Genomic DNA, 24,178 nt, shown 5'->3' on the forward strand with positions numbered 1-24,178 from the left:
TTGGTCTTCTATAACCTTCTTGTACTTGGATATTGATAGCTTTCTCTAGGTTTGGGAAGTTCTCTTTGAATAAACTTTCTACCCCATCTCTTTTTCTACCTCCTTTTTAAGGCCAATAACTCTTAAATTTGTCCTTTTGAAGCTATTTTCTAGATCCTGTAGGCATGCTTCATTGTTTTCTATTCTTTTTTGTCTCCTCTATGTTTTCAAATAGCCTGTCTTCAAGCTTACTAATTATTTCTTCTATGTGATCAGTTCTGCCATTAAAAGACGCTTATGCATTCTTCAGTATATTAATTGCCATTTTCAGCTCCAGAATATCTGCTTGATTCTTTTTAATTATTTCAATTTCTTTGCTAAATTCATCTGATAGGATTCTGATTCCCTCTTTGTGTTATCTTGAATCTGAGTTTCCTCAGCACAGCTCTTTTGAATTCTTTGTCTGAAAGGTCACATATCCCCAGGATTAGTCCCTGGTAACTTATTTAGTTGGTTCAGTGAGGTTATGTTTTCCTGGATGCTTATAGGTGTTCATTTGTGTCTAGACATTGAAGAGTTAGGTATTTATTATAGTCTTCACAGTCTGGGCTTGTTTGTGCCTGTCTTTCTTGGGAAGGCTTTCCAGGTACTCGAAAGGACTTGGATGTTATGATCTAAGCCGTATCTGCATCGGGGGGCACACCAAGCTCAGTAACACTGTAGTTTTTGCAGACTCATAAAGGTACCATCTTGATGGTCTTGGATAAGATCCAGAAGAATTATCTGGATTACCAGATAATTACTTTCTCCCAAACAAATGGACTCTGTCACTCTGTGCTGAGCCTCCTGAAGCTAGGGGTGGGGTGACACAGGTACCCCTGTGAACATAGCTTCTGACATGCATAGGCAGGCCTAATGGTGGTGATCAAAGAGACTTGAAATTTGGAGCCATCCTGGGAAACTACAGACACATGGGTTATTCTGAGTATACCAGTGTTATTTAAAATTCACCCAGAGGCCAGGCATGGCAGCGCACGCCTGTAATTCCAGCACTTTAGGAGGCTGAGGCAGGAGGATTGCTTGAGCCCAGGAGTTTGAGCCCAGCCTGGGCAACATAGGGAAACCACATCTCTACAAAAAATTAAAAAGTTAGCCAGGTGTGGTGGCCTGAACCAGTAATCCCAGCTACTCAGGAGGCTGAGGTGGAAGACTCACTTTAGCCCAGGAGGTCAAAGTTGCTGTGAGCCGGGTTGACTGAATTTTATTCTGGCTGAATAAAATTCACCCAGATCGTGGGTTTCCATGTAGCGCGTGCCATGAGGGCCTCATTAGTGTGAAGGACTCTACGTGTGGCCTTCATTCCGCTGTAGCATTCAAGGGTGAAGTGGGGATTTGGGGTCCTGGACTGCTTAATTGCAGTTGCCCATTTTCAGCAGTGATGTTTGACATTGGTTGGCATTCTATGGGATGCCAACTGAGCCCACTCTTCTGCATCAGGGAAGCCTTCCTTGCTGAAACATGGTTGCCTAGGGCTGAAGACAGGGTAGCCCCACCTAGGCTAGGGGCCCTCGTGTAGGGACAGAGGCACATTCAGCACATACCCAGGGTACCAATCACTCATGTTAGAGAGCCAGAACAGATGAGCATGAAGCAGAAATGGGATATTGACTTACCATGGTGAATTTATTTCAGCCTCTCTAAAGGGGGTGGGTCGGTGGGTTGCTAAATAATTCACAGTGTCACCATGGCGCACTCGACGTGAACACCTCTGCACAATTATGCAGTTATATTTATAAGACAGGCTAAGAATAGAAGGAACTGATGCTTCATTTCCCCCAACCTCACATCCTCTCAGAGAGAGAGAGGTGAGTCCTGAGTGATGGGGCCAGGTCAGTCCTGCCCTGAAACCAGCACTGGGACTGAGAGTGTATGGAACTGCCAAAGCACCAGCAGGGATGGGGGAAGAGAACTATGAAGCCATACAACAACCTTTCACAGGATGGGTAGTGTGTAAATATTGGGTGTCAGTTTCTGCAGACCAACAGGTTAACACTCTAGATACGTCTCCCTCACCATATTGTTCCCATGAATGTTTAGTGTAGGTGCAAGAGGTTTGTCCATGAGATTCTTGAAAACAAGAACCATATTACTGTACTCAAATTTCTAATTTCGCCATGTGACAGTTTCTTCCAGTTACTGGCTCAGTTTTCAGACACAAGCTACAGCCTGGTTGGAGAAGAATAAATTATTTTTTTCGTTTCCTTTTTGATTTTTTTAACCTCTCTGTTTCTGACTTCCAGGTGTTCCAGTCAAAAGACGTACCTGAAAAGACATCATCACCTGAAGAATCCATAAGGATGACGAAAGGCATCACCATGGCAACAGCCAAAGCCGTGGCAGCTGGGAACTCATGTAGACAGGAGGACGTGATTGCTACTGCCAACCTGAGCCGGAAAGCCGTGTCAGATATGTTGACGGCTTGCAAGGTAAAGAGCTTGGCATGGTTTTGGATGGACAGATGATTCTCTGTCGTGACTGGGTTGCTTGGTGTAGTCTGAAAAAGGGGAGGGGCTCAGAACCTTAAACTTTGTAATAAAAATGCACACAGGGCCAGGGGTAGTGGCTTATGCCTGAAATCCCAACACTCTGGGAGCTGAGACAGGAGGATCGCTTGAGACCAGGAATTTGAGACCAGCCTGGGCAACATAGTGAGACCTCATCTCTTAAAAAAAATTTTTTTTAAGTAACCAAGTGTGGTGGTGTGTACCTGTGGTCCTAGCTACTCAGAATAGTAGCTATGGCAGGAGGATCACTTGAGCCCAGGAGTTCAAGGCTGCAGTGAGCTATGATTATGCTGCACTCCAGCCTAGGTGACAGAGCAAAACCCTGTCCGTTTAAAAAAAAAAATGCACGCTGAATATGGCATACGCACCAGCCTGTGGGAAATGACTCTCTAAGGCAGTTTTGTGTTTGAGAGGGGATGGAGTCAGCCTTGCTGGCCCTAATCCTCCCCCTTCTTTCTAGTTCTTCCTAAATAGGCAGGAAGCCTTCTTGCAGAGTGTGGTGGAGGCCTCTCCGAGGGTGGTGGATAGGGATTGCAGCACTTGGTTCCAGCTCCTCCAAATGGAAAATGTTTGCTCTTCCGCTGGACCCTTGTTTACCCCCATAGGTCAGCCATTGTGCACTAGGAGAGGTGTTGCCATCCCTGGTGAGGAAGTGAGTTGGAGGAATATAGCAGAACTTGGCGAGCTGCTTTTCACAGTCTGTGCTAGACATCTTGGAAAAATTCCTCTGTTCCTTAGGTAGATAGTTGGAGCAACTGCCCTGAGCCTGTGCTTGGTGAGGGAGCTGTGGAGACCCAGGGCCTGGAACCTTTATTTTTGATCTATTAGGAAAGTGAACTATAAGAGCCCCCACCCTAGGCCTTCCCCCTTCTTGGGACAGCCTTGCCCCCAGGGACTCCGGCTTCTGCTCAGCAATCAATTGATGATCCGCTGCCATGGTGAGTGAGGGCAGAATTGAAGACCAGCTCCTACAGCGTGGGGTCTCAGGGAGCAGAGCCATTCTTTGTGGTAAAGTGAGTTCTGCTGGAGTTGCTGCTGCAAGATCCAACTCTTATGGCTTCTTGGTGGCTCCTCAGAAGGAGAGGGAGGTAAGGGAGGGGGTGATGACGGAATTTGTGTGCAAGGGCCTGGCCCTGGGAGACAGTACCACATTTATGGGACCCCTGGGTGTGATGAAGGGTGGAGAGAAGAGGGTGTGTTGGAAAAGACAGGGCTGGAAAGATTCCGCTTTCACACAGGACGCAGGGCTTGCTAGATGAGGGAGTTAGGACTCTCTCTCCTGAGGCTGCAAGTATTGGCCACTTTGATATGCTCAGTGGAGTCCACCTACCATAAGAGATAACTGCCAAAGGGGTTACATCCTCAATCAGAGAGTAAAGGCCTGCATGCATTGTGGTGTACACACACGGAATCTCAAAATTTTCGAAGAGCTGTCATATATATTCTCTCATTTGATCCCATATGAGAAAGGCGAGAGTAATTATTCTGTTTGTTACATGATGAAATGGGCTCAGAGAGAGAAGTGGCATGACCAAGGTCACGCAGCTATTTACTGTCAGATCCAGAACTGAAATTAGCTCTCCTGATTTCTCAGCCAGTCTGTTTCTGCTACTCAGGGCCTCCCAGATGTAATGTTCAAGGTCGCTATGGTTGATGCGTGACAGACGCTTTTGTCCCCAAGCTACAGACGTGAACAGGGGAAACTGAACAGAAGAGAAACCATGATTAAATGGTCTTTTTAAAGGGAATGCAGCTCAGATGTTTAAGTCTCTCCTAACGTGTGCTCCCCTGTTTTCAGGGGAGGAGCTCAGGTAGAACAGTGTGGGTGCTATTTGCCCATCCTCAGCCCCTCTCTGTCATCTCGACCCTGGGATGCGTTATCTGGGCATTGCAGGACAAGATAGCAGCCAGAGCTCTAAAGCCTGAATGTCAGCTTCACACACCAAAATCAGACTTGACAGGAGTCACTGCTGAGCCCTGATGCTCCTGTTAGGATAGGACTGACTTAGCGAACTCACTAACATTTCCATTTCCCTTGATCTCCTGTATCCCTCACCCCTTTGCAAATGGAAATGAGGCCTCTGGCCGAAAGGGAGCGCATGCAATAATGCATAGACAGGAAACCTGGGTTGCTGAGTGGTGGTCAAGACGGAAGCCTTAAATGCCAAGCAGAAGGGCCGAGTCGCCCTAGTCCAGCTCTGCCTTTTCCCTGGTTACCCTACTCAGCCCACACACGGAGGGGCAGAAAATTACATACTGGCTCATCTTAGAATGGAAGGATTACTGCAGTTCCTTAGGCAGAGAGAAAGACTTACCTAAACCCTAAGTTAATTCTCATGCATATTTCTTTCTAGTCTTACTTTCATTTGCACATCTGTATATTAGATATAATTTTATGTCTACTATTATAATTAATGTTATAAAGCTATTTCTGTGTTGCTATATTGCTGACTTTTTAATGACTACAAAATACCCTTAATGAATATTATCTTCCCACTGTTGACAGATATTTAGGCTGTCTGCATTTTTTAAAAATCATGAACTTTACTGCAGTAAACATCTTTGGGCATATCTGTTTTTTTCTGTGCTTTGGATTATTTCCTTAGGCAAGATTCCTAGAAATAGAATTAGTGGGTCCAATAGTATAAGAGTTTAATTAGTGCCACATTGTTCTCCCAAAGGGTTCTACCCGGTTACAGAGCCCCCAGCAGTGCACGCAAGCACCTCAGCTCCACCTCTCCCACTCCCTACACACGGGCTTGCACATAACCTGCTGGAAGTGACTCTGAGTAGCATCCGGGCCTGTGTCTTCCCGCAGTGGTGTCTCATCAAACAGACGTGGGGCCTTGTGCCTCACCGTTCGAGGCACAGGGGTATGAGGATGAACAACAAGTGATGGTGGGTGGCTGGGAGCATGGCTTTTGGTTCCTGCCTCCGAGCCCATTAGTCCTCAGATGAGGAAAAGCTGGCTCATACATGACATGCTGGCCATGAGAATTAGCCCCACTCTGTCCAGGGACTGGGGGTAAGTCAAGGGGGGAGCCCAAGGTATTCCCATCAGCACTCACATTCCTAGGAAGAGGGGCTTGAGTGGATAAAACATGGATCCTGGTCTTTGCCCTCAGCTTTTACCTTTTATCCCAATGTGTGATTTGTGTTTGTCCTGATTAGCAGTGTATTTGTAGTTTTATGTATTTCTGCAAGCCCCTCAGTTTCTTTCCAGAGGGAAGCTGTAGAAGGAAGGGGTAGGGTTGCTAGTTGTAAAAAATAAAAAATAGGATGTCCCATACTTGCTAAAAATTTTTTTTCATTGATTATCTGAAATTCAAATTTAACTGGGTGCATTTTATCTGGTGACTCTGTGAATGGGTATCCCTTCAGAAATGATGTAATCATGAATGACTCAAGTTAGCAGGTCGTAAGTACAAGAAAAAAGCTCAAGATGCTGTGTTAAGCATGTGTGCTGGTTTGTGTATCTCGACTTTTGTATAATATGAGATGAGTTATGGTGCCTCTAGGGTACTGGGGAGCTAGCTATCTGAAGTTTCCCAGGAGCTAGAGGGCCCTGGTCACAGAGACCTCACTGACTGCAGCATGGTCAGGCCCAGGGGTGAGAGCCTGGGCTTAATTAGCCTGTGAGCAGAGAGGGGCTTTCAGGACCCCTTAAGCTGCTAAAGAGAGGCAAAGCTGACCCTAGGTCAGTACGTCTCCAGCTGTAAGCGCTGATCATGAATCTTGCCTGGATGTTTTTGTGCATGTGGAATTTTTTGCATTTCAAAAAAATGTGGGGTGGGAAAAGGAGGAACAAAGGTCCAGATTGAGCTGTTTCTATCGTTTGGCCCCAGGGCACTAACAAAGTCTGCACACAGACTGCATCAGAGGGCCTGCTGTGGGCAGGTGGGAGGTGGCAGGAGGACGTAGAGGAGAGATACCTCTTCTGTCCAGGGAGTCAGGGCAGTTTCTTGAGGTCACCAGGGTTAAGGTCTCTTGCCTCTGAGTCTGGGACTGCCCAATGCTGGCTTTTCCCATGTTAAGATTTCAGCATTCCTTTCTCTCTCCAGCAAGCATCCTTCCACCCCGATGTCAGTGACGAGGTGAGAACCAGAGCCTTGCGTTTCGGGACGGAGTGCACCCTTGGCTACTTGGACCTCCTGGAGCACGTCTTGGTGGTAAGAAAGCGCATGAGTCAGGGCTGGGGAGTAGCTGTGTCCCTCTAGCTGTCCTGGCTGATTCAAACTATGCTTTCCTTGGGAAGACCTCTCTCAGAGCCCTGTCCATTGCCACTGTGAGGCTGGGACTGGATTGAACTGGAATCTCCCCTGATGCACTGATCCGGCACACTGAGCTAAAAGTGCGGTCTGGACGAAGTTGCAGTTAGAATTCAGGAAAGCCCAGTTCTCTCATGCACCTAAAAGGCAGGAATAGCATGTAAAAGGAAGAGGGAGCAGAGTGAAGGACAAAGTGGGCGGGCGGCCAGTGCCAACCTGAAAAAGTATCAGGAGGTCTTGTTAGGAAACCCCCAGTACATCCTGCAAGGACATGGAAGGCTTCTGACAGAGCCATGCCAGCCTCCGTGGCAAGTGAGGGAGGCTGCCAGTGCTGCAAGTGACCCACCAGCCCTTCACAACTTCCATCCTCGAATGAATGGCTTAGATCCCATCGAGAATGACTCCCCCAGCCTAGTGTGCCTAGTGTGGAGCTGGGTTAGGAAGGCATAAGCAGAAGACACCAGGCAGGGGTGTAGATAGTCATGGCTGGTGGGCTGCCCACGTGGGAGCCTCAGTTTGTGCAGTTCCTAAGGAGGCGTGACTCGCTACAAACCCTAAGGACCAAACCACGGAGCACCAAGAAGTAGGTACAGTGTGTATCTGTCTCTGCTGAGTTCAGGAGCCATGTTTAGAACCATGTAAGGTCTAGGGCAGGCCTCCATAGTCAGGGACACCCCCAGAAGAGCGTTGATGATGTCTCTCCTCCATCACTACCCTTGCTCTTACCAAACCTAACAAAAGAGATCCAACAGGCCACCTTTAGATACATAATTCACATAGCTAGAGGAGGAGTGCCAAGCCCTTCATTTGCTGGGCATTCTCAAGTTTTCTCATTCTGTCCTTGCGCAGCCATGAGGCTTATGGCCAACAGATTGATCTGAGACCCAGAAAGCTTGTCCCTTGGTTGAAGTCACCCATCTGTTCAGCAACAGAGCTGGATCCAAATCTCAATTCTTACTATTCCCAGCTCTGGGCATTTCACTGCCTCCTTCTTAGAAATAAATTATCTTCTGATGCTAAACATTTTAGGTCATTTAAGGGATCATTATTTTTATTCTTTATCCAGGTAACTGTGGTCAATTCTGAAGTGCATTTTTTGGGAAAGTAGCCAGTCTGGGGTCACTAACATTGAGCTCCCAAAGTCTGAACCCTTGTAAATAGAGATCAGTGTATCATATGTAGGCCAAGGAAAGACATCTTAGCCAGTCAGCATTCACAGGCAAGAGCCTCTAGCTAGACAGGTTGGGAAATAGTTAAAGTGTTCAGTCTGTAAGTGTGCCTAGCAGGAAATGGAGGTTAAAGACAGTAACACCAGCAAGGCTTTCCAAAGACCTCTTTTTCATTATGGAACAGTATATTCTGAGTCATATAGAACCTTGTTATAACTAAAAATTGGACAATAGGGTGCAATCAGTAGATTTAGAAGCCTCAAGTTCAAATCCTGGTTCTGCCACCTAAGTAGCTACATGGCCACTGTGTTATCTGGGGTGCAGTTTCCTCAGACGTTAAACAGGCAGTTTATTAAGGATGAAATGAGCATGTCTGGAAACCTAGGGCTTTGTGGCCAAGCTAACATTTGCTGAATGCCTTATTAATATCTGCCGAGTGCGGTGGCTCATGCCTGAATCCCAGCACTTTGGGAGGCTGAGGCTGGTAGATCACTTGAGGTCAGCAGTTCAAGACTAGCCTGGCCAACACTGTGAAACTCCACCTCTATTAAAAATACAAAAATTAGCCAGGCATGGTGGTGGGTGCCTGTAATCCTAGCTACTCAGGAGGCTGAGGCAGGAGAATTGCTTGAACCCAGGAGGTGGAGGTTGCAGTGAGTCAAGATCACACCACTGCACTCCAGCTTGGGTGACAAAGCAAGACTCCATCTCAATAAATAAATAAATAAATAAATAAATAAATAAATAAATAAATAAAATCTGCCACTGGGAAGGTGCCATTTCTGGCTGGTGGGTGGTACTTGCTAACGGTGGGCTTGCAGCAGCAGTGGCCTCTGCCTCCTAAATGGGAGCTCTCCCCCTATGCTCCATTTCTCCTTATTTTTTCTCTCTCGTGCTTTTGCTGTTGTCTTGTTCATTTTGGGGGAAGGGAGGAGATACAGGGATCCTCGTATTTCCATTTCACTTCTCCCCAGTTCCATTTCTTAGTTGAACCGTATTTTCTCCAGCACCTGTGCAGCATTGATAATGTACATGACATCTATGGGTCCAGGCCCTGCACACATGGGCCTCAGGTTGGCAATCTGTACCTTTGCCCTTGGTGAGTCATTTAACAAGAATGTCACTGTGTGGGGTCTGCCTGCAGCTTTATGTCTGACACGTACAAAGGCCTGGATGGAAATGGAGTGAAGGTCTCCCCTTTCATTCTCCAGCAAAAATGCAGCTTATTTAGGGGAGAGGAATTCTTTCTTCGTAAGGAAGGGCAGGTGCCAGCATTTGTCTTAGGGAGAAGTGTCTCTCAGGGGAAAGGAAAATGGAGCTGTAACAGGGTCACTTCCCTGACTGCATGCCGACTCTAAACCCTATCCCAGTATCCGGGAATGAGGTGTTGGATCTGCTCAAGTGCTTCCTTTCTTGTCACTTCCCCTCTCCATGCCCACCTCGTTTGGGTGAGCAAAATAAGACAAGGCTGTCTTGTGTGTATGGTGTGCCTCTGTCCGAGGGGCGGGCGGGCAGATGGCTGGCCTCTGCCTGAGGGGAGGCCAAGAGGTCCAGGAGCTCTAGGAACATTATAGAAGGTCTAGGAACTTTCCCAGGCCACACATTCAGAGACTCCTGCTTAGTGGCCACCCAGTCGCTATGTCAACATCAGCCCTGATGGTAAACGGCAGCTTTTTCTGTAACAGGAAGAAGGGCACTTACTGACGGGAGACCCACCATCACAGGTCATTCAGGAGGTCACCATCAGATCTCATCTCATGGAGGCTGGAGATCGGAAGGAGGGAGAGTGACCACTACTTTCTTTGCCAGGGCCTAGGCAAGAACAGATTGCACTTTGTGGCCAGACGTGCTTCTCTGGTGACCATTGACATTTCAGTTGATTGATTTTCTGTTATGGATTCTTCCTTGTATTTTTTGTAGAATCAGTACTCTTAAATCTTGTGTGTTACAAACTTGCATGGTTGATATATCTGTTAAAAGCCTGCCAGCTGAGTTTCTTGTCCTCATTGTATACAATTATTGTCATTGTAGTTTGTAACTATGGTAGATATATCAATGTCCTAGTTCTCTAAGGCCATTCAGAGGTTTAGGGTAGTTGGTACTAAAATGAAATCACTAATAGGAAGAAAAGCTAAATGATAGTAAAACTATTCCTATAAAAGAAACAGAATCCATCTCATCTTTTGCGATAAGGATTTTTCCCCCTTGAGACTGAAAAGATCCAAATATATTTTAAAGATAAAATTGTCAAAAGTTAGCAACTAAGTATGAGAAGCAATGAAAAGCAAGATTAAAAGTTACCTCCAAAGTTCTCCAGCTCCAAGATTAGGATCACGGTAATGCTATTGACAGGGCAAGGCAGAAGAAAGGGAGATTTTATAGATAAATCTATAAAATTTACAATGTGCCTAAGTTTAATTAGGCATACTGTACATTTGATACATTCTCTAGATGTAAAGATGGAGGAGATATAGTTCTAGTGCTGGCAGTTGAAGGCTTTTATTCATGCATATGGGCTTTTTTTTTTTTTGGAGACAGAGTTTTGCCCTCGTTGCCTGGGCTGGAGTGCAATGGCATGATCTTGGCTCACTGTAACCTCCGCCTCCCGGGTTCAAATGATTCTCCTGCCTCAGCCTCCCAAGTAGCTGGGATTACAGGCACGAGCTACCAGGCCTAGCTAATTTTGTCTTTTTTGTAGAGATGGGGTTTCACCATGTTGGCCAGGCTGGTCCCCTAACCTCAGGTGATCTGCCCACCTTGGCCTCCCAAAGTGCTGGGATTATAGGCATGAGCCACCAGGCCTGGCCAATATGGGGTTTTATTAAGAGCATACAGTATAGACATAAAAGAATAGAGTCAAGGCTAGATCTTGAGAAAACATGAACCAGTAGAAGGCAGGAAAAAAACTGGAGAAATAATGGAAAAAAGGGGACTTCAGAAATATTCGCTGAAAGAAGGGGAATACAAGAAAAAGACTTATCATTTGGGCTTTATGGTTGATTCATTAAGTCATTGTTTATTTTATTGACTTCCTTCTATAGACCACACAAAAGAAATATAAGCTAAGCACATAATGGCCCTTGCCTTCAAGTAGCTCCTAATCCATTTATAATCTAGTTAGTCTCCCTCAGTGGTCTTGGTTGTTGTTTATAGAATGTTAAAGAGTGAAACAATCAAAGATAAAACTATCAAAAAAAAAAAAGAATTTTCCCCCTTGAGGGTGACAAGTGCTGATGGCTCTGACATCCAAGGATGTGAATGAAATAGCATTATGTATTCATTTATTTGTTCATGTTCATATATTTTTTTCCTTAAAAAGCAAGACAGTCTTTGAAGAGTATTTTCTATTAAAAATATAGGCCGAAAACAAGCCTCTTTCTAGGGAATTATCATAAACATATAAAAAATACAAGTTCCTGGTGAAAAATTATAGAAACCCTCACAACAGTATTCGGTCACCTAAATTGTGGTGACATAGGTCATTGTCTTAGGTCTGCTGCCAAAAATAAATTCACGTTCACACAGTTAGCTTTAACTCCTAGAAATCTGGGTTAAAATAAGGATAAGAAAGAGGAGTATTGTTTCACACTGAGAGTCCTGCAAGCCGCAAGACTGACCGGCCAGTGCTGTATGAAGGTCCAACAAGAAATGAGGAAAATGAGAATGCCCAAGCCTGGGAAGTAGTGTTCGTTTTCAGAGGGGATTCTAATGACAATCAGAAAATGAAAGCCAAATTGCTAATCTAGAGAAGACATCAGAATTTTGTTGAAATTCTTTTTGGGGTAGAAGAAAAGAATATCTACTAAAATTTGATTAGTTATTTGCAGGTGATAGATTTAAAAAGCAATTAAAAACTGGAGATTTTTATTCTGTCTGTCACACACACACACACACACACACACACACACACACACACACACACACACACACACTCACTCGCTCTGCCCTTCACTCTGTTCTTTGGTCTCTGCAGAAAGACTCTGTATGATCATATGACCATGGCCTCTCCATTCTGAAAAAGAGTTGACTAAAACCAGACTGTACCTGTAGATCTTAGGGTAGTCTTCCTGAAATGCTTGAAAAATTGATCCCGTTTTTAACAATTCAAGGAGAATCGATGGAGATTCCTGAGAGCTGAAGAAAGGTCAGATAATTGTTCATTTTTTACAAAAAGGGAAAGAGAAAATTCCAGAAATCAAGGTTTAGAAAAAGTGTCCAGCAATCTGCAGAAATAAGTTGAGGTCATTTTCAGGTGGTACATGGAGAATCGGGGATCCTCTTCAGTGAGCTGCTTTTCTTAAATCTCGGCACATAAAAATATGCATGAGTTTATGGTGTCTTAGCCTTGTTCTGTTAAAATATCTAGAGCCAAGGATTCTTAGGCTTTTTTGGCTGGTTTGTATCTTTTAGTTTTTCTTTGGAAAATGCTTAAATAAATACAGAAGCTAATAGCAGCATCCATGTACCCATCATCTATGATTGACTAATTTTGTTAACAGTTTATCCTATTTGCTTCAGATGCTTATATTTTAAACAAACATACCAATAATAATACATTTTGTATCTGTTCCCACTCCTATTCTCTCTTTGCCTGTGTTACAGATGCCAATGACTATCATGATTTCAGCATTCTTCATCTTTTGTGGGTCATGGGCCCCTTTGAGCTAAAAGCCCGGGGTCATTTCTTGCCTTCTGCAACCGTCATCAAAGAAACATCAGCACAGACACACAGGTTGATCCCCAAACTGTTAAGAGGAGTCACAGACCCACAAAACCTAGTTAGAACCTTTTGGTATTTAGAGACTCCAAATGGAAAACCCCCGCCTGGGGAATCCTTTAGAGAATTCAGTTAACTCTCAACAAACATAGGATCTAATTTCGACAGAGCCATCTCCCCGCTGCCCCGAGAGCTGCTTTATGATGTTTTAGAGATGTCCATTTGAATGATGGTGGCCTCCTGCGTTTGCTGTTTGCTCGTTTATCATAGAGGATTTGTATTGCAGGACAAAAAGCCGCTACTTTGCCTCTGCAACTATCACAGTTCAATATTTCTGCAAAACCAGTTTGAGATCTTTGGCAGGGCTAAAATTATCCTTGCTTCCACTGGCAGAGCTTTAATTTGGATCTGTCTGTTGTCTGCTATCAGAAATCATGTTGACTTAATGGCAGAATAAAAATAGAACTCCTCTTCTCCTCCGTTATCTAAAGCTCGGGTTCTTTATCAGGGCTGTTCCCTGTCTGAGGGCTGTCATGTTGTACACTTCTCACTGAAGGCCCTCCTTTTAGAGACAGAAGTCTTTCATCATTCCACTCTGTGGGAATGTTGGTAGAAGTATGTGAACAAACATCCTTCCCTTGTCTTGAGCTTAGGGGAAAATCATTCAGTCTTTTGCCATTAATTATGAGTGTCCGCACCATACCTTTAACCCTTTGCTTATTCATGCTGTGTTGGCCACTTTAGAGAAACCATTTAACAATGCCTATGGACTGCTTAGCTACTGAGATCCTGAGCCATAACTATTAATAACCTGGTAGTCGTACAGCATATATTGTTGCAGACAAATATGGTACAAGCCTTTTGCAATTAAGTGGTGACAAATGCCACCATCTAAGTCTAGAGCAGTGGTTTACAACTATGGCCACATGAGTCACCCAGGGAACTTAAAAAATTCTTATGCCCAGGCTACACACCAGAAGAATTTTATCAGTAGCTCTTTATATATATATATTAATTTATATAACCTCACCACAGCTCTATAAAGGAAGACTGTTGTGGTCGCTTAATAAACTGAGGCTTAGAGAGAGGATAAGTACCTGTACACAGGTACATTGATATTGACTGCTGAACCTATGCCTAACTAAATTGCCTGCCCACTGGCTGTCTTGGAAAGTAAAAGGCATTTATCCCCTTCCTTCTATTTCTCCATGGCTCTAGTGTTCTTTTGGAACTGGTCTAGGAAGCCATCATAGTAGGACTTGTCCCAATAATGTATTGGTTTGCTTTTCACTCATTAATTAATTTGTTCATTCAAAGGTCTATGCTGAGTTCTTAATATCTGCAGAATGATATATATATAGGCCCTAGTGTGAGAGAGTGAGAATCACAGAGCACCTGGAATCATCATGGAACAGTAGCAAATATGAAAGAAGTATAAAAGATTATAAGAGGAGGGAAGATGAGGATAGATACATGTGAAGTAGTGCTCAAAGATTATTGACTAATCCATTTGTGCGTACGCATAATGTCATCTGTACACTGCCGTGTCTAGGGCTGGTCATGGTGTAACCCATTGACTCCTCTCATCGGTTTTTTTCTAAGCTTTCTTTATAGTCATGGTGCAAAGGGGTTAGTCCTGGGGTCTAAAAACCATCTTTCCAGATTCCTGAGAAAGACTGTGCTACCTGGGCAGGGGAAAGGAGTGTGGGGCACCAAGAAGGGAATTCACATTTAATGAATGTCTATTGTGTTCCAAGCATTGTGAGAAATACTCTCCATGTGTTATTCCATTCTATCTTTTTTTTTTTTTTTTTTTTTTGAGATGGAGTCTCACTCTGTGGTCCAGGCTGGAGTGCAATGGTGCAATCTTGGCTCACTGCAACCTCTGTTGAGGCAGTTCTCCTGCCTCAACCTCCTGAATAGCTGGGATTAGAGGCACCCGCCACCACACCCAGCTAATTTTTATATTTTTAATAGAGACGGAGCTTCACCATGTTGGCCGGGCTGGTCTCTAACTCCTGACCTCAGATGATCTACCCGCCCGAGCCTCCCAAAGTGCTGGGATTACAAGCATGAGCCACTGCGCCCAGCCTCCGTTTGATCTTTGTGCCAGCCCTGAGACATAGGCATTATCCCAGCTTTACAGATGAGAAAACAGGTTTAAAACCGGTAATGGATGAAGCCAGGTTTGAACACAAGTTTGTTCATTTCCAAAGCTGATGCTTTGTCCCCTACTCAGAGGCTCCAAAATTGTGCAGAGATAGACAGCAGTTATACTTCTCTCCTGACTGTCTGAACATTTCTAAATCTGAAGATCACCATTGGGAAACGTGAGAAAGAGATAACAGAAAAGAGCACTGGAAGAAGAATTTCAACATGAGGAAGGGATAGGATGGTGTGCACTAGAATTTAGATCCCTGGTGGAAGATGGGGAAGAGCTCTTATCCTGTGTCGTGGTTCCATTCATGGATGAGTTTGAGAAGAAATCAGCTGGGGATGTCTTAAAGGTGTTTAGTATTCTCAGTACCTTTTTTTAAATCCATAAAAAACAGAAAGCAAAAGACAATTTTTGAAAACTTTTGAACTAATTCAAAAGAGAGGGCAAATCCTCAGGACTTCTCCCAGGAGAGCTTGCAGTCAAAACTCTGGAAATGGATTGTTTTCTCAAGAATGATCCTCCTGAGCAGTTAGTTGTTGCTCACTTAGGGATTTTGTCTCAAGGACTTGAGTGGCGTGTTTCCTCTGGTCCTTTATTTTGTCACAAGTACTGATTGGCCCATAGCTTGGGGCTTTTGCCTTTACTCAGCATGTTCTTTTTTTTTTTATTTTTATTTATTTATTTATTTATTTATTTTAAAGACTGACTCAATCTCTCTGGCCAAGGCTGGAGTGCAGTGATGCAACCACTGCTCACTGCAGCCTTGACCTCCTGTGCTCAAGAGATCTTCCCACCTCAGCCTCCTGAGTAGTTGGGACTACAGGTGTGTGCCACCATGCCCAGCCAATTTTTAATTTTTTTTTAATTAGAGATGAGGTCTTGCTATGTTGACCAGGCTGGTCTTGAACTCCTGGGCTCAAGCAGCCCTCCCACCTCGGCCTCCCAAAGTGCTTGGATTACAGGTGTGAGCCACTGTACCCAGCCAGAATGTTCTTACAGTTTGGTTAAATTTCAGGTGCATGTGTGTGTTTTATGTACAAATAAAGGACAAATGAAGGTCCAAATAGAAAACAAGGACTTTGTCTCCTTTATGATCTTTAGGAGCTATGTCAGGAGGGACCTTAGAGGCACCACTGGTTCCCAACCTTTTATTTCTCACATGGGGAGATTGAAACCCAGTGAGTCGTAAGGGTTTTCCACAAGGCTCTGAAGTCACTTGGGACAGAGATGCAACTTAAAACCAGGCTGCCTGACTCCACATCCAGCAAGAGGAGTGTGCTTCTTTCCTGTCCCAGTGGTTACTATCCCCCTCATGCCTCTGACTTGTTCTTCACCTGTAGATTCTTCAGAAACCAACCCCAGAATTCAAGCAGCAGCTGGCCGCTTTCTCCAAGCGAGTCGCCGGCGCTGTGACAGAGCTCATCCAGGCGGCGGAAGCCATGAAAGGTAGGCTGGATTCTCACGTCTTGGTGGAGGGCAACCCTCCCAGGCAGTGCTAATACAGCAGACTGAGCAGAGGAAAAGCACAGACGGCAATGGCCTTTAGCTGGCAGATGCAGCCAGGAATACAGTGAGGACTTTCTGCAAGCAAATGGGTTTAGAGTTAACTTGAAAAAGAAACATCCTCCCTGAAGCAAGTCTTTTCTCTAGTCTTTGTATTAAGTGCTTCTACTTAAATGGTATCCTCCACCTAGAACCTACTCACTTTCCTTGGAGTCTCCCCATTTCTTTTTTGTCTGCATTTTCATTCATCAGGATATTTATTCTCCTTCAAATAGTACTTCATGTTTTGAAAATGATGCTACCTGAAAACATTGTTTGGACACCCTTTATGTTTACATAGAAGCAATCAACCCACCTGGGAAAGGTCTTCTCACCAATTTCCTTTACTTTGAATTAAGGTGAGGGGTCAGTCCTCCTGGGTTCCAGGGAGAAGAGAATGGCAAATTCCTGTGTGATGTACAGCATAGTGTAGTGTCTCCTGAGGATGCTTACTTAGATTCATGAGCTTTAAGTTCAAAGTCAGAGCAAAGCTCAAGCCTTGGTCCGTGAGATCATTTTTGAAGCTGCTTGGTGACTGCTCTGTGGAAGGGCCATACATGCAACTGATTTAGAAAACCAGGATTAGCACCCCCACCCCCCACCCCCATCCAGATGGCCTTTATGAGAGACGGAAGGAAGGTTCCTTAGGACAATGCAGGTCAGGCTCCTGGAGCCTTCATGCATGCAAATCCAGATAGTGTTTTTAATTAAGCCAGTGCCCTGAGGTCTGCAGCTATGAAGAATCACCTTCTTTTGGACTGATTCTAGGAACAGAGTGGGTGGATCCAGAAGACCCAACTGTCATTGCAGAAACAGAGTTACTGGGGGCTGCAGCATCCATCGAAGCTGCTGCTAAGAAGTTAGAGCAACTGAAGCCAAGAGCAAAACCAAAAGTAAGTGTTCATTTATGGTTGGCTGTCCGATGTCAGTGGGTTCTTCCAGTGGGTGGCTGTGAAATGGAGCTAGGAGTGCTGCAGGGAGCTTGGCTCCTTCCTTATGGTCAGACTAGCAAGCAGAAAACCGGATCTACCTGCCCGGCACTGCTTTAGAGTATGGGGGTAAAAAAATGGCTGATGAGTCTTTCAAGTTAACCACCCAGAAAAATTCCTCTGAGTATCCAAAGGAAGAATTGGGGCATTTGCAGTCTTGATTTAGTTCATTATCTAAAGCAGGTGTTGGATGCTTTCTGTCAGAAGTTGCTGTTACTGGAGAGGAGATTGTTAGCCTCCAATTTTCTGGTTTCTCTTTTGCTTTTTACAAAGAAATAGCACTGCTGGGAATCAGAGGGCAATGAGAACTTCAAAAGTGCACCCACTCCAGGCTTTGTCAGTATATGCTGGAGAGGATGGGTAGCTGGTATGTTTTTTCCTTCTGTGTTTGTCATGTAGATAAATGTTTAAAACTTAAGATTATAGGTATATGTGAAGAGAAATAGCCATTTAAAGGAAAGAGATACTTTTAGATTAGGCAGGAGGAAGGACACTTTCTAAATAAAAGGATGACAAGCTAGTGCTGTCTCCAGGGGCAAAGCCCCAATCCTGTTAAGCTAATACCTCCTACCCCACCTTCCATAGCTGTCTTCAGCAGGAAAATGGTAGAACCAGAGGCGGCCTGTTTTTCTTCCTATTCAAGTAAGTCCCTGGTGGTGCATGTAACTCATCTATTTCCAAGGACCCAGATATACTAGGAAATAATATTTGGCTTTTCCCCTCAAAAAAGGGCTGGATTCCACCAATTTAGGTATACCTAAAAATTTACCTATTTTTGTAAGACCAAGGGATGGAGTCTGGGCCCTGAAACAGAGCAGACCACTCAAAAGCAGTGCCTGGGCCAGTGTAGTGTATGAAATAAACACAGACTGAGTCTGTTCAGCTTGGGAACATTATTAAAACCTTCGAGTGCTTAGAACCAACCTCCTAATAGTCGCTCTGGACTTGGTAAAGGCACTTAAACGTTTTCTCATCAAGATGTAACTTAAGGATTTGGGCTTCTGATTGTGGGGTTTACCAGGGCTCTCTCTGCTGGACTCTACCTGGGAGTCTTGGGTTGCCTGATATTGTCAGAGTAAGAGCCAAGTGTGGGTGTTGGGACAACTCCATTTTCTGGTTACGCCTTTGTTTCTGCTTTGTCAGTCAAGTTAATCGTGAATGAAAAGTGTACTTTAAACTTAAGAGTCAACCATTAACTAAGATTTAGAGGTTTGGTGCATGATGTTTTTCCATTTCCTTGTCTGATTTATCACGATGGCCTTTCTTGGGGAGGGCTCTGTCCGCTAATGCCGAAGCCATGTCAGTTGACACATTCGTTCTCCTGGAGAATTAGCCTGGTGCTAATTTAACATTAACACTTCACCATATTCTAAGAGCTCCTGTTTCAATGTCTTTCCCTTTGTCCTTCCGCAGGGTCCTTCTGAGCTCTTGTCTGAGTCCTGGTTTCCCCGTGTCTGGTCGTTCACTTCACGACTCCAGATGGGAAAACAAAATTATTAAAGTTCCTACCCCATAGGATTATTGTTATAATAATTAAATAAGATAGTATAAGAACACTGCCTGACATACAGTGAGACTTGGTAGATAGTAACTATATCACCATTATTATCACCATCATCACTGAAAATGTGTGTCTGGGACTTACTCCCTAGGAAATGCCTGAAATAAAAATTATTCCACTGGCCCCTGAAGAAAGAAAACCAGGAAGCTCGCGTTGTTCAGCTGCCAAGCCTGTGCCAGGCAGTCTTCTGGGTACTTTATGGGAGTCACTCATCTGATCCTTGGAAAAAGTCCATTAGAATCAGAAGCACCAAGAGGCGAATTACCTTGCCAGGGTCCGACCACTGTCACTCAGCTGGGAGGGCTATGTATGGCCCTGGGTGGCAGTTTCAGTCCATACCAGCCCCTGTTTCCCACCCCATTGTCAGAGAAGGCTTGTCTAGTCCCACAAAGGCCATTTGTAGTTTATGTGTGCCCTTAGAGCTACTCCTCGAAGGAATATTATGCAGCTATAATATTATGCAGCTATGAAAAATAATGGTTGCTAGGACTGTGTAGCACGAAGAAAATGCTCATGGTATAACAGAAAGGATGCAGAATTATGTACTTATTATGATTACAACTCTAAAAACTCACAGATGAAGAAAATAAGTAGGGAATGTACAAGAATGATGATGGAATTGGGATGATGGAAGGGTCTGTGTTTTAACATTTTATAAAACAAAGGTTTAAAAAATAACAGCACCTTAAAAATTAATGACTGCTGAAGTAGGCCTGTGAGGACTCCCTACAGTACTCTAGGATCATATAGCCTTTGTGTTTACATTGAGGGTTTTTACAGGAAAGCCAAGGAGTCCTTCGGCCAAGGTCAAGGTTAACATAACTGATGATGTGAATCCTTTGTTTGAGGGTTCCTACCTTAGCTCACTCCCATCGTATTAGGAAGGGTGATGGGTACTTCTAGAATGCTTCACAATGGTCTGAAGTCTTTCTCTGCCTGATGGCCAGAGGTGGATATTATCTATGAAACTGTTTTGGAAAACCTGCAACCCAAACCATAGTTTTTGTGCCTAATAGGGCACATTGCAATAACTTTTGCATGAAATATCTTCCTTGCCTTTATAAAGGAATTTATTTCCCCAATTAAAAAACAATAACAACAATCTGCACCAAAATCAGCCAGTCTTTTGAGTTGAATCACTTCTCTCCATTCTCTCCCAAAACCTTAAAAAAATCCTCAGGGTACTGTCAGTAAACAATTGCTTATTACATCCCTATAACCCTACCCTGGTACACACACATGCCTTCAGTATAAAATGGATGTGTGTTCCTTCTGGGGAGTATTCACACTGCTTTCAGGAAGAGTTTGGGGAGAGACAGTAATTTTGTCTAAAATGCTCTGCTCACCACCGTCTCAGGTTGCCTGTTTTTAAAGGAGAATGGCTCATGGTCTTTGATGATGATTCTGGTACATTTCCACCTCAGGCTCTTAAAACTTAAGCATCACTTTTTGCCTGGGATCTCCCAGACATGCACCGTTGAATCTGCTGTTCACCTGGGGAGATGAGAATGTCAGTGAGCGCTGGTGCATGTGCTGACAGTATTGTTAATGGCGCCGTTTCCACATCTGCAGGCAGACTTGTGCTCCAAAGACAGTTATCGGAGTTGCTGCAAAAGTGACCACCCCCTGCAGCCGTAACCTTCAATACTGTGCCTAGTCTCGAGCTCAGTCAAACCTGGATGCCTTTTCTGCAGGCCTCTGTGTGATATGTTTGATATATTAGGTTGTTATTTAATCCAACTATATATCAAACATATTCCTACAGTGTCTTGCCCTGTCTCCGGGGGTTCCTAATAAAGTTTATAAGGCAACAGGAAAGAACACGTTAAAATCACAAGTAGATTTAGAAGATGGAGCACTCATTACAATTCATGTTATCTTCCATTTCTTCTTATAGCATTTGAGACCTGTATCAGTATTACTGGATTACTTGCTTATTATAGAAACAATAAGTGTTGATGTTTCATAAGAGCCTGGGGTATTCTGTGTGGCTTAGTTTTGTGCAGTGATGAATCCTTAAGGAATTCAATATGCTTGGTGGAAAAAACGGTTCCAACCCATGTCTGTGACACAGAATAAAGGTCAGGATTATAGCCTCAAACACATCTAGATTCATGTTTCATTTTGGTTCATTTTTATCCTGATCTTCAATTTAGAAGTTCATGTCAGGGTTTCAGCAAAAATTCAAGGAGCACAGATCAGTTTTCTATGACTTCCCTTTCCACTCACAGTAACAGAATGTATAAAGCAAATCCTCCATACCAGCTGCATGGATACTGAGTCAGTGAGCTTTGTACAAACCTTGGATATAGGACTAAATATATCTCATGAAGGTAATATAATGTTGACTGAACTCTTGAATTTCCTGTTATAGGTTAACTTGTCAGTGGAGGTTGGTAATATTTAGAATAAGCCAACAATCGGAAAGTAATATCATAGCCTAATTGACTGTGGCAGGAAGTTTGGGATTATGATATAGAAAACATTTTTTCTGGTACATAACAGCCTTCTTTGGTTGGTTTTGACCTCTTCCTTATAGAAAAGCCTGTGAAGTATGTGTGAGTTCATTCTGAGTTCTCTCAACAAACAAAATACTTTGTGAGCACTGCTTTCTGGAAAGAGAACTACTGTTCTCAATGTTTTGGAGGAGAAAAGGTGTAAGCAAATGGTTTAAACAGGTAGTCATGAAAGCTTCCCCTTACTGTGTCTAGAAGTCATTGCCACATTGCTTACAGGTGAATGCATAGTGACAGGGTCACCAACAGCAACATCAGAGAGGTGATGACACAGGAGAGGGTCCTGTAATGTTGGAGTCCTGGCTTCTGGAGTTACATAATGGATCCTGTCTCTGGAATCCTTCTCCATTGAGAAGCGATCTGTGTGTGTTGGCAGGTGCTCTGTCAGGCGGGTTTCAAGATGCTGCCCCAATCAGTCCCTCCTTCACACAGCTAGAGAACACCGGCTTTGGTTTTGAGTCCAGTTACATTGTTTGACTGAAATGGCAAATGGCCATGGAAAAGAGACAGCAAGTTATTACGAACAAAGAAAAACATGGTTTCAAAAGGACCTGCAGACGAAGCCCAGTTGTTTGAATTGATGTGATTTTCTTGTTTCTTTGGGTGACTTTGTCACTGACCAGCATGTTCTCTGTAGTGATTAATATGGTGAAGGGAAAAAGGAACCAACTGTTCAGGAAGGAGGAGGACAAATACAGCATTTTCTGTATGGCTGCACTTGGGCTTTGAGTGGCACTCATTGGTTCCAGACCAGGAGCATACAGGGTGTGAAAAGCAAGTATGGGGCCGGGCATGGTGGCTCACACCTGTAATCCCAGCAGTTTGGGAGGCCAAGGTGGGCGGATCATTTGAGGTCAGGAGTTCGAGACCAGCCTGACCAACAGCTGGGTTTCACCCAGTCTCTACTAAAAATACAATATATATATAAATATAAATATATATAAAAATATATTTTTATATATATTAAATATAATTATAATTATATATTATATAATATATTATATATTATAATATATATTATATATTATATTATAATATATATTATAATATATAATATATATAAATATATTATATATATATATATTTATATATATATATAATAAGTCAGGCATGGTGGTGCACGCCTGTAGTCCCAGCTACTCAGGAGGCTGAGAATCGATTGAACTTGGGAGGCGGAGGTTGCCGTGAGCCGGGATCGTGCCACTGCACTCCAGCCTGGGTGACAGAGTGAGACTCGGTCTCAAAAACATAAATAAATAAGAAAAGCAAGTATGGGAGACTCCCCTCCAGGGTAGACCAGTAGGTCCTTGTCAGATCCTTCACAGACACAGAAAGGGGGCTTAAGATGTAGGGAGTTTATCTGATACAGCTTGGGAAGAACCCTGTTATCTTTTGTCTGTGCTTTCTATATCGACATTCAAGGGCCCCTTAAACAGAAATAGTGATTAAAAGATTATTTCAGTGGCGTTGCTTTCCATTTTGAACACAAAAGTAAAGCAATGGATACTATGGGAAAACTACTCCCAAGATACTAATCATGCAGGTGCGGACCTTTTCCAGCAGACACTGCATGAACTCGCGCGTATTCCTCGGATGCGGAGGGTGTGGTCCCTCCCCAGTCACAGGCACAGCCATTTGGCAGTTTCTCTGCCACCCATTTTGCCTGTTTAAGGTCTCTCTGGAGCTTTCCCTGAGACAAGGCCAGCTGTCCATGCCTGGCTCTTAGCAGTTCCAGTTGTTCTGGGAGGTGTACCTTTTGTTTGAACTAATAAAGGTGGCAGTCCTGAAGCCACCCCATCCATGGGTCCTCCAGAGGAGAAGCTGATCTAACCTTTGCACAGTTTGGGGCTTTGCATACAGGCTAAGGCCTCCCTCAAGGCACCTCTCAGTTCAATACCAGAAGCAAACTAGTAGCAGCCAAACTTGCAACAACAAAAAAAAAAGAGAAATGTGGCTGCCTGCTCCACTCCGGCTTCCAACTGGCAGGAAAATGCCTCACTCCTGTTGTGGGAGTTCTAGACACTGGCCTCCTTTTTTCCCTCAAGGACATTTAAATTAAATGCAAAATGTTCACACTTTAAAAAATATATATCCAAGAGGGTTTTTTTAAAGTTTCTGATGCACTATGACCTTATTTTTAGTAGCAGGCATTCTGCAAGACTCTGAGTAACACAGAGCAAAGCCTGAGACCCCACTGGAAAGATGACACGGGTGGTTCTTCAGTTTGTGGAGCCAGTTGTGAGAAGGGCGACCATTGTGTTTTTAGCTCTCAACAAAGCATTCCCTCAAAGTAAGTTTTCAGGGAGGGAGGCAAGCCCTTTGGCCATCTCCTATGCATGCCTTATGCTCCTTCACCTTCAAGTTCATTGGCGGAAGGAGCTGTGGGGTTGCAGGGCATAAGAAAAGGCCAAGAAAAAGACCATGGGAGGACATTCTCTTCCCCTGCCCAACACTTGCCCAGGACCTGACAAGGACAGTGAGCAGGGGAAGTGGGTAAGGACGTTGAGGAGGAGCGGGGGCAGTGGGGGATGTTGGTAAGGATATTGAGGAGGAGGTCAAGAGAAATCAGAAGAGAAAAGGTAGTTCCTGCTTATTTTAGTCACCGCCTTCTAAGAGAAGTTTAATTTGGAACTGTCCATGTCTAGGCAAAAGGACCAGGAAGGTTGAGTTGCTCCTCCAGTGACAGAAAACTGAGTAACTGATACCTGGAGAAAG

General features: G+C 44.0%; 1 protein-coding gene and 1 non-coding gene across 3 annotated transcripts in view; both read left to right on the forward strand.

Annotated features, from left to right (window-relative positions):
- Positions 1–24,178, forward strand: part of TLN2 (talin 2) — a 454,082-nt gene that overhangs the window by 412,771 nt on the left and 17,133 nt on the right. For both annotated transcript variants that reach the window (NM_015059.3, NM_001394547.1), the window contains 4 exons: positions 2,280–2,465; positions 6,605–6,712; positions 16,196–16,301; positions 17,166–17,290. In NM_015059.3, coding sequence (NP_055874.2) covers positions 2,280–2,465; positions 6,605–6,712; positions 16,196–16,301; positions 17,166–17,290 — 525 coding nt within the window. The remainder of the gene's footprint in view (positions 1–2,279; positions 2,466–6,604; positions 6,713–16,195; positions 16,302–17,165; positions 17,291–24,178) is intronic.
- Positions 20,637–20,721, forward strand: MIR190A (microRNA 190a). The gene has a single exon (NR_029709.1). It is a non-coding gene; the product is annotated as a microRNA 190a (primary transcript).

This window comes from Homo sapiens, chromosome 15 (assembly GCF_000001405.40).
Source record: "Homo sapiens chromosome 15, GRCh38.p14 Primary Assembly".
NCBI lineage: Eukaryota > Metazoa > Chordata > Mammalia > Primates > Hominidae > Homo > Homo sapiens.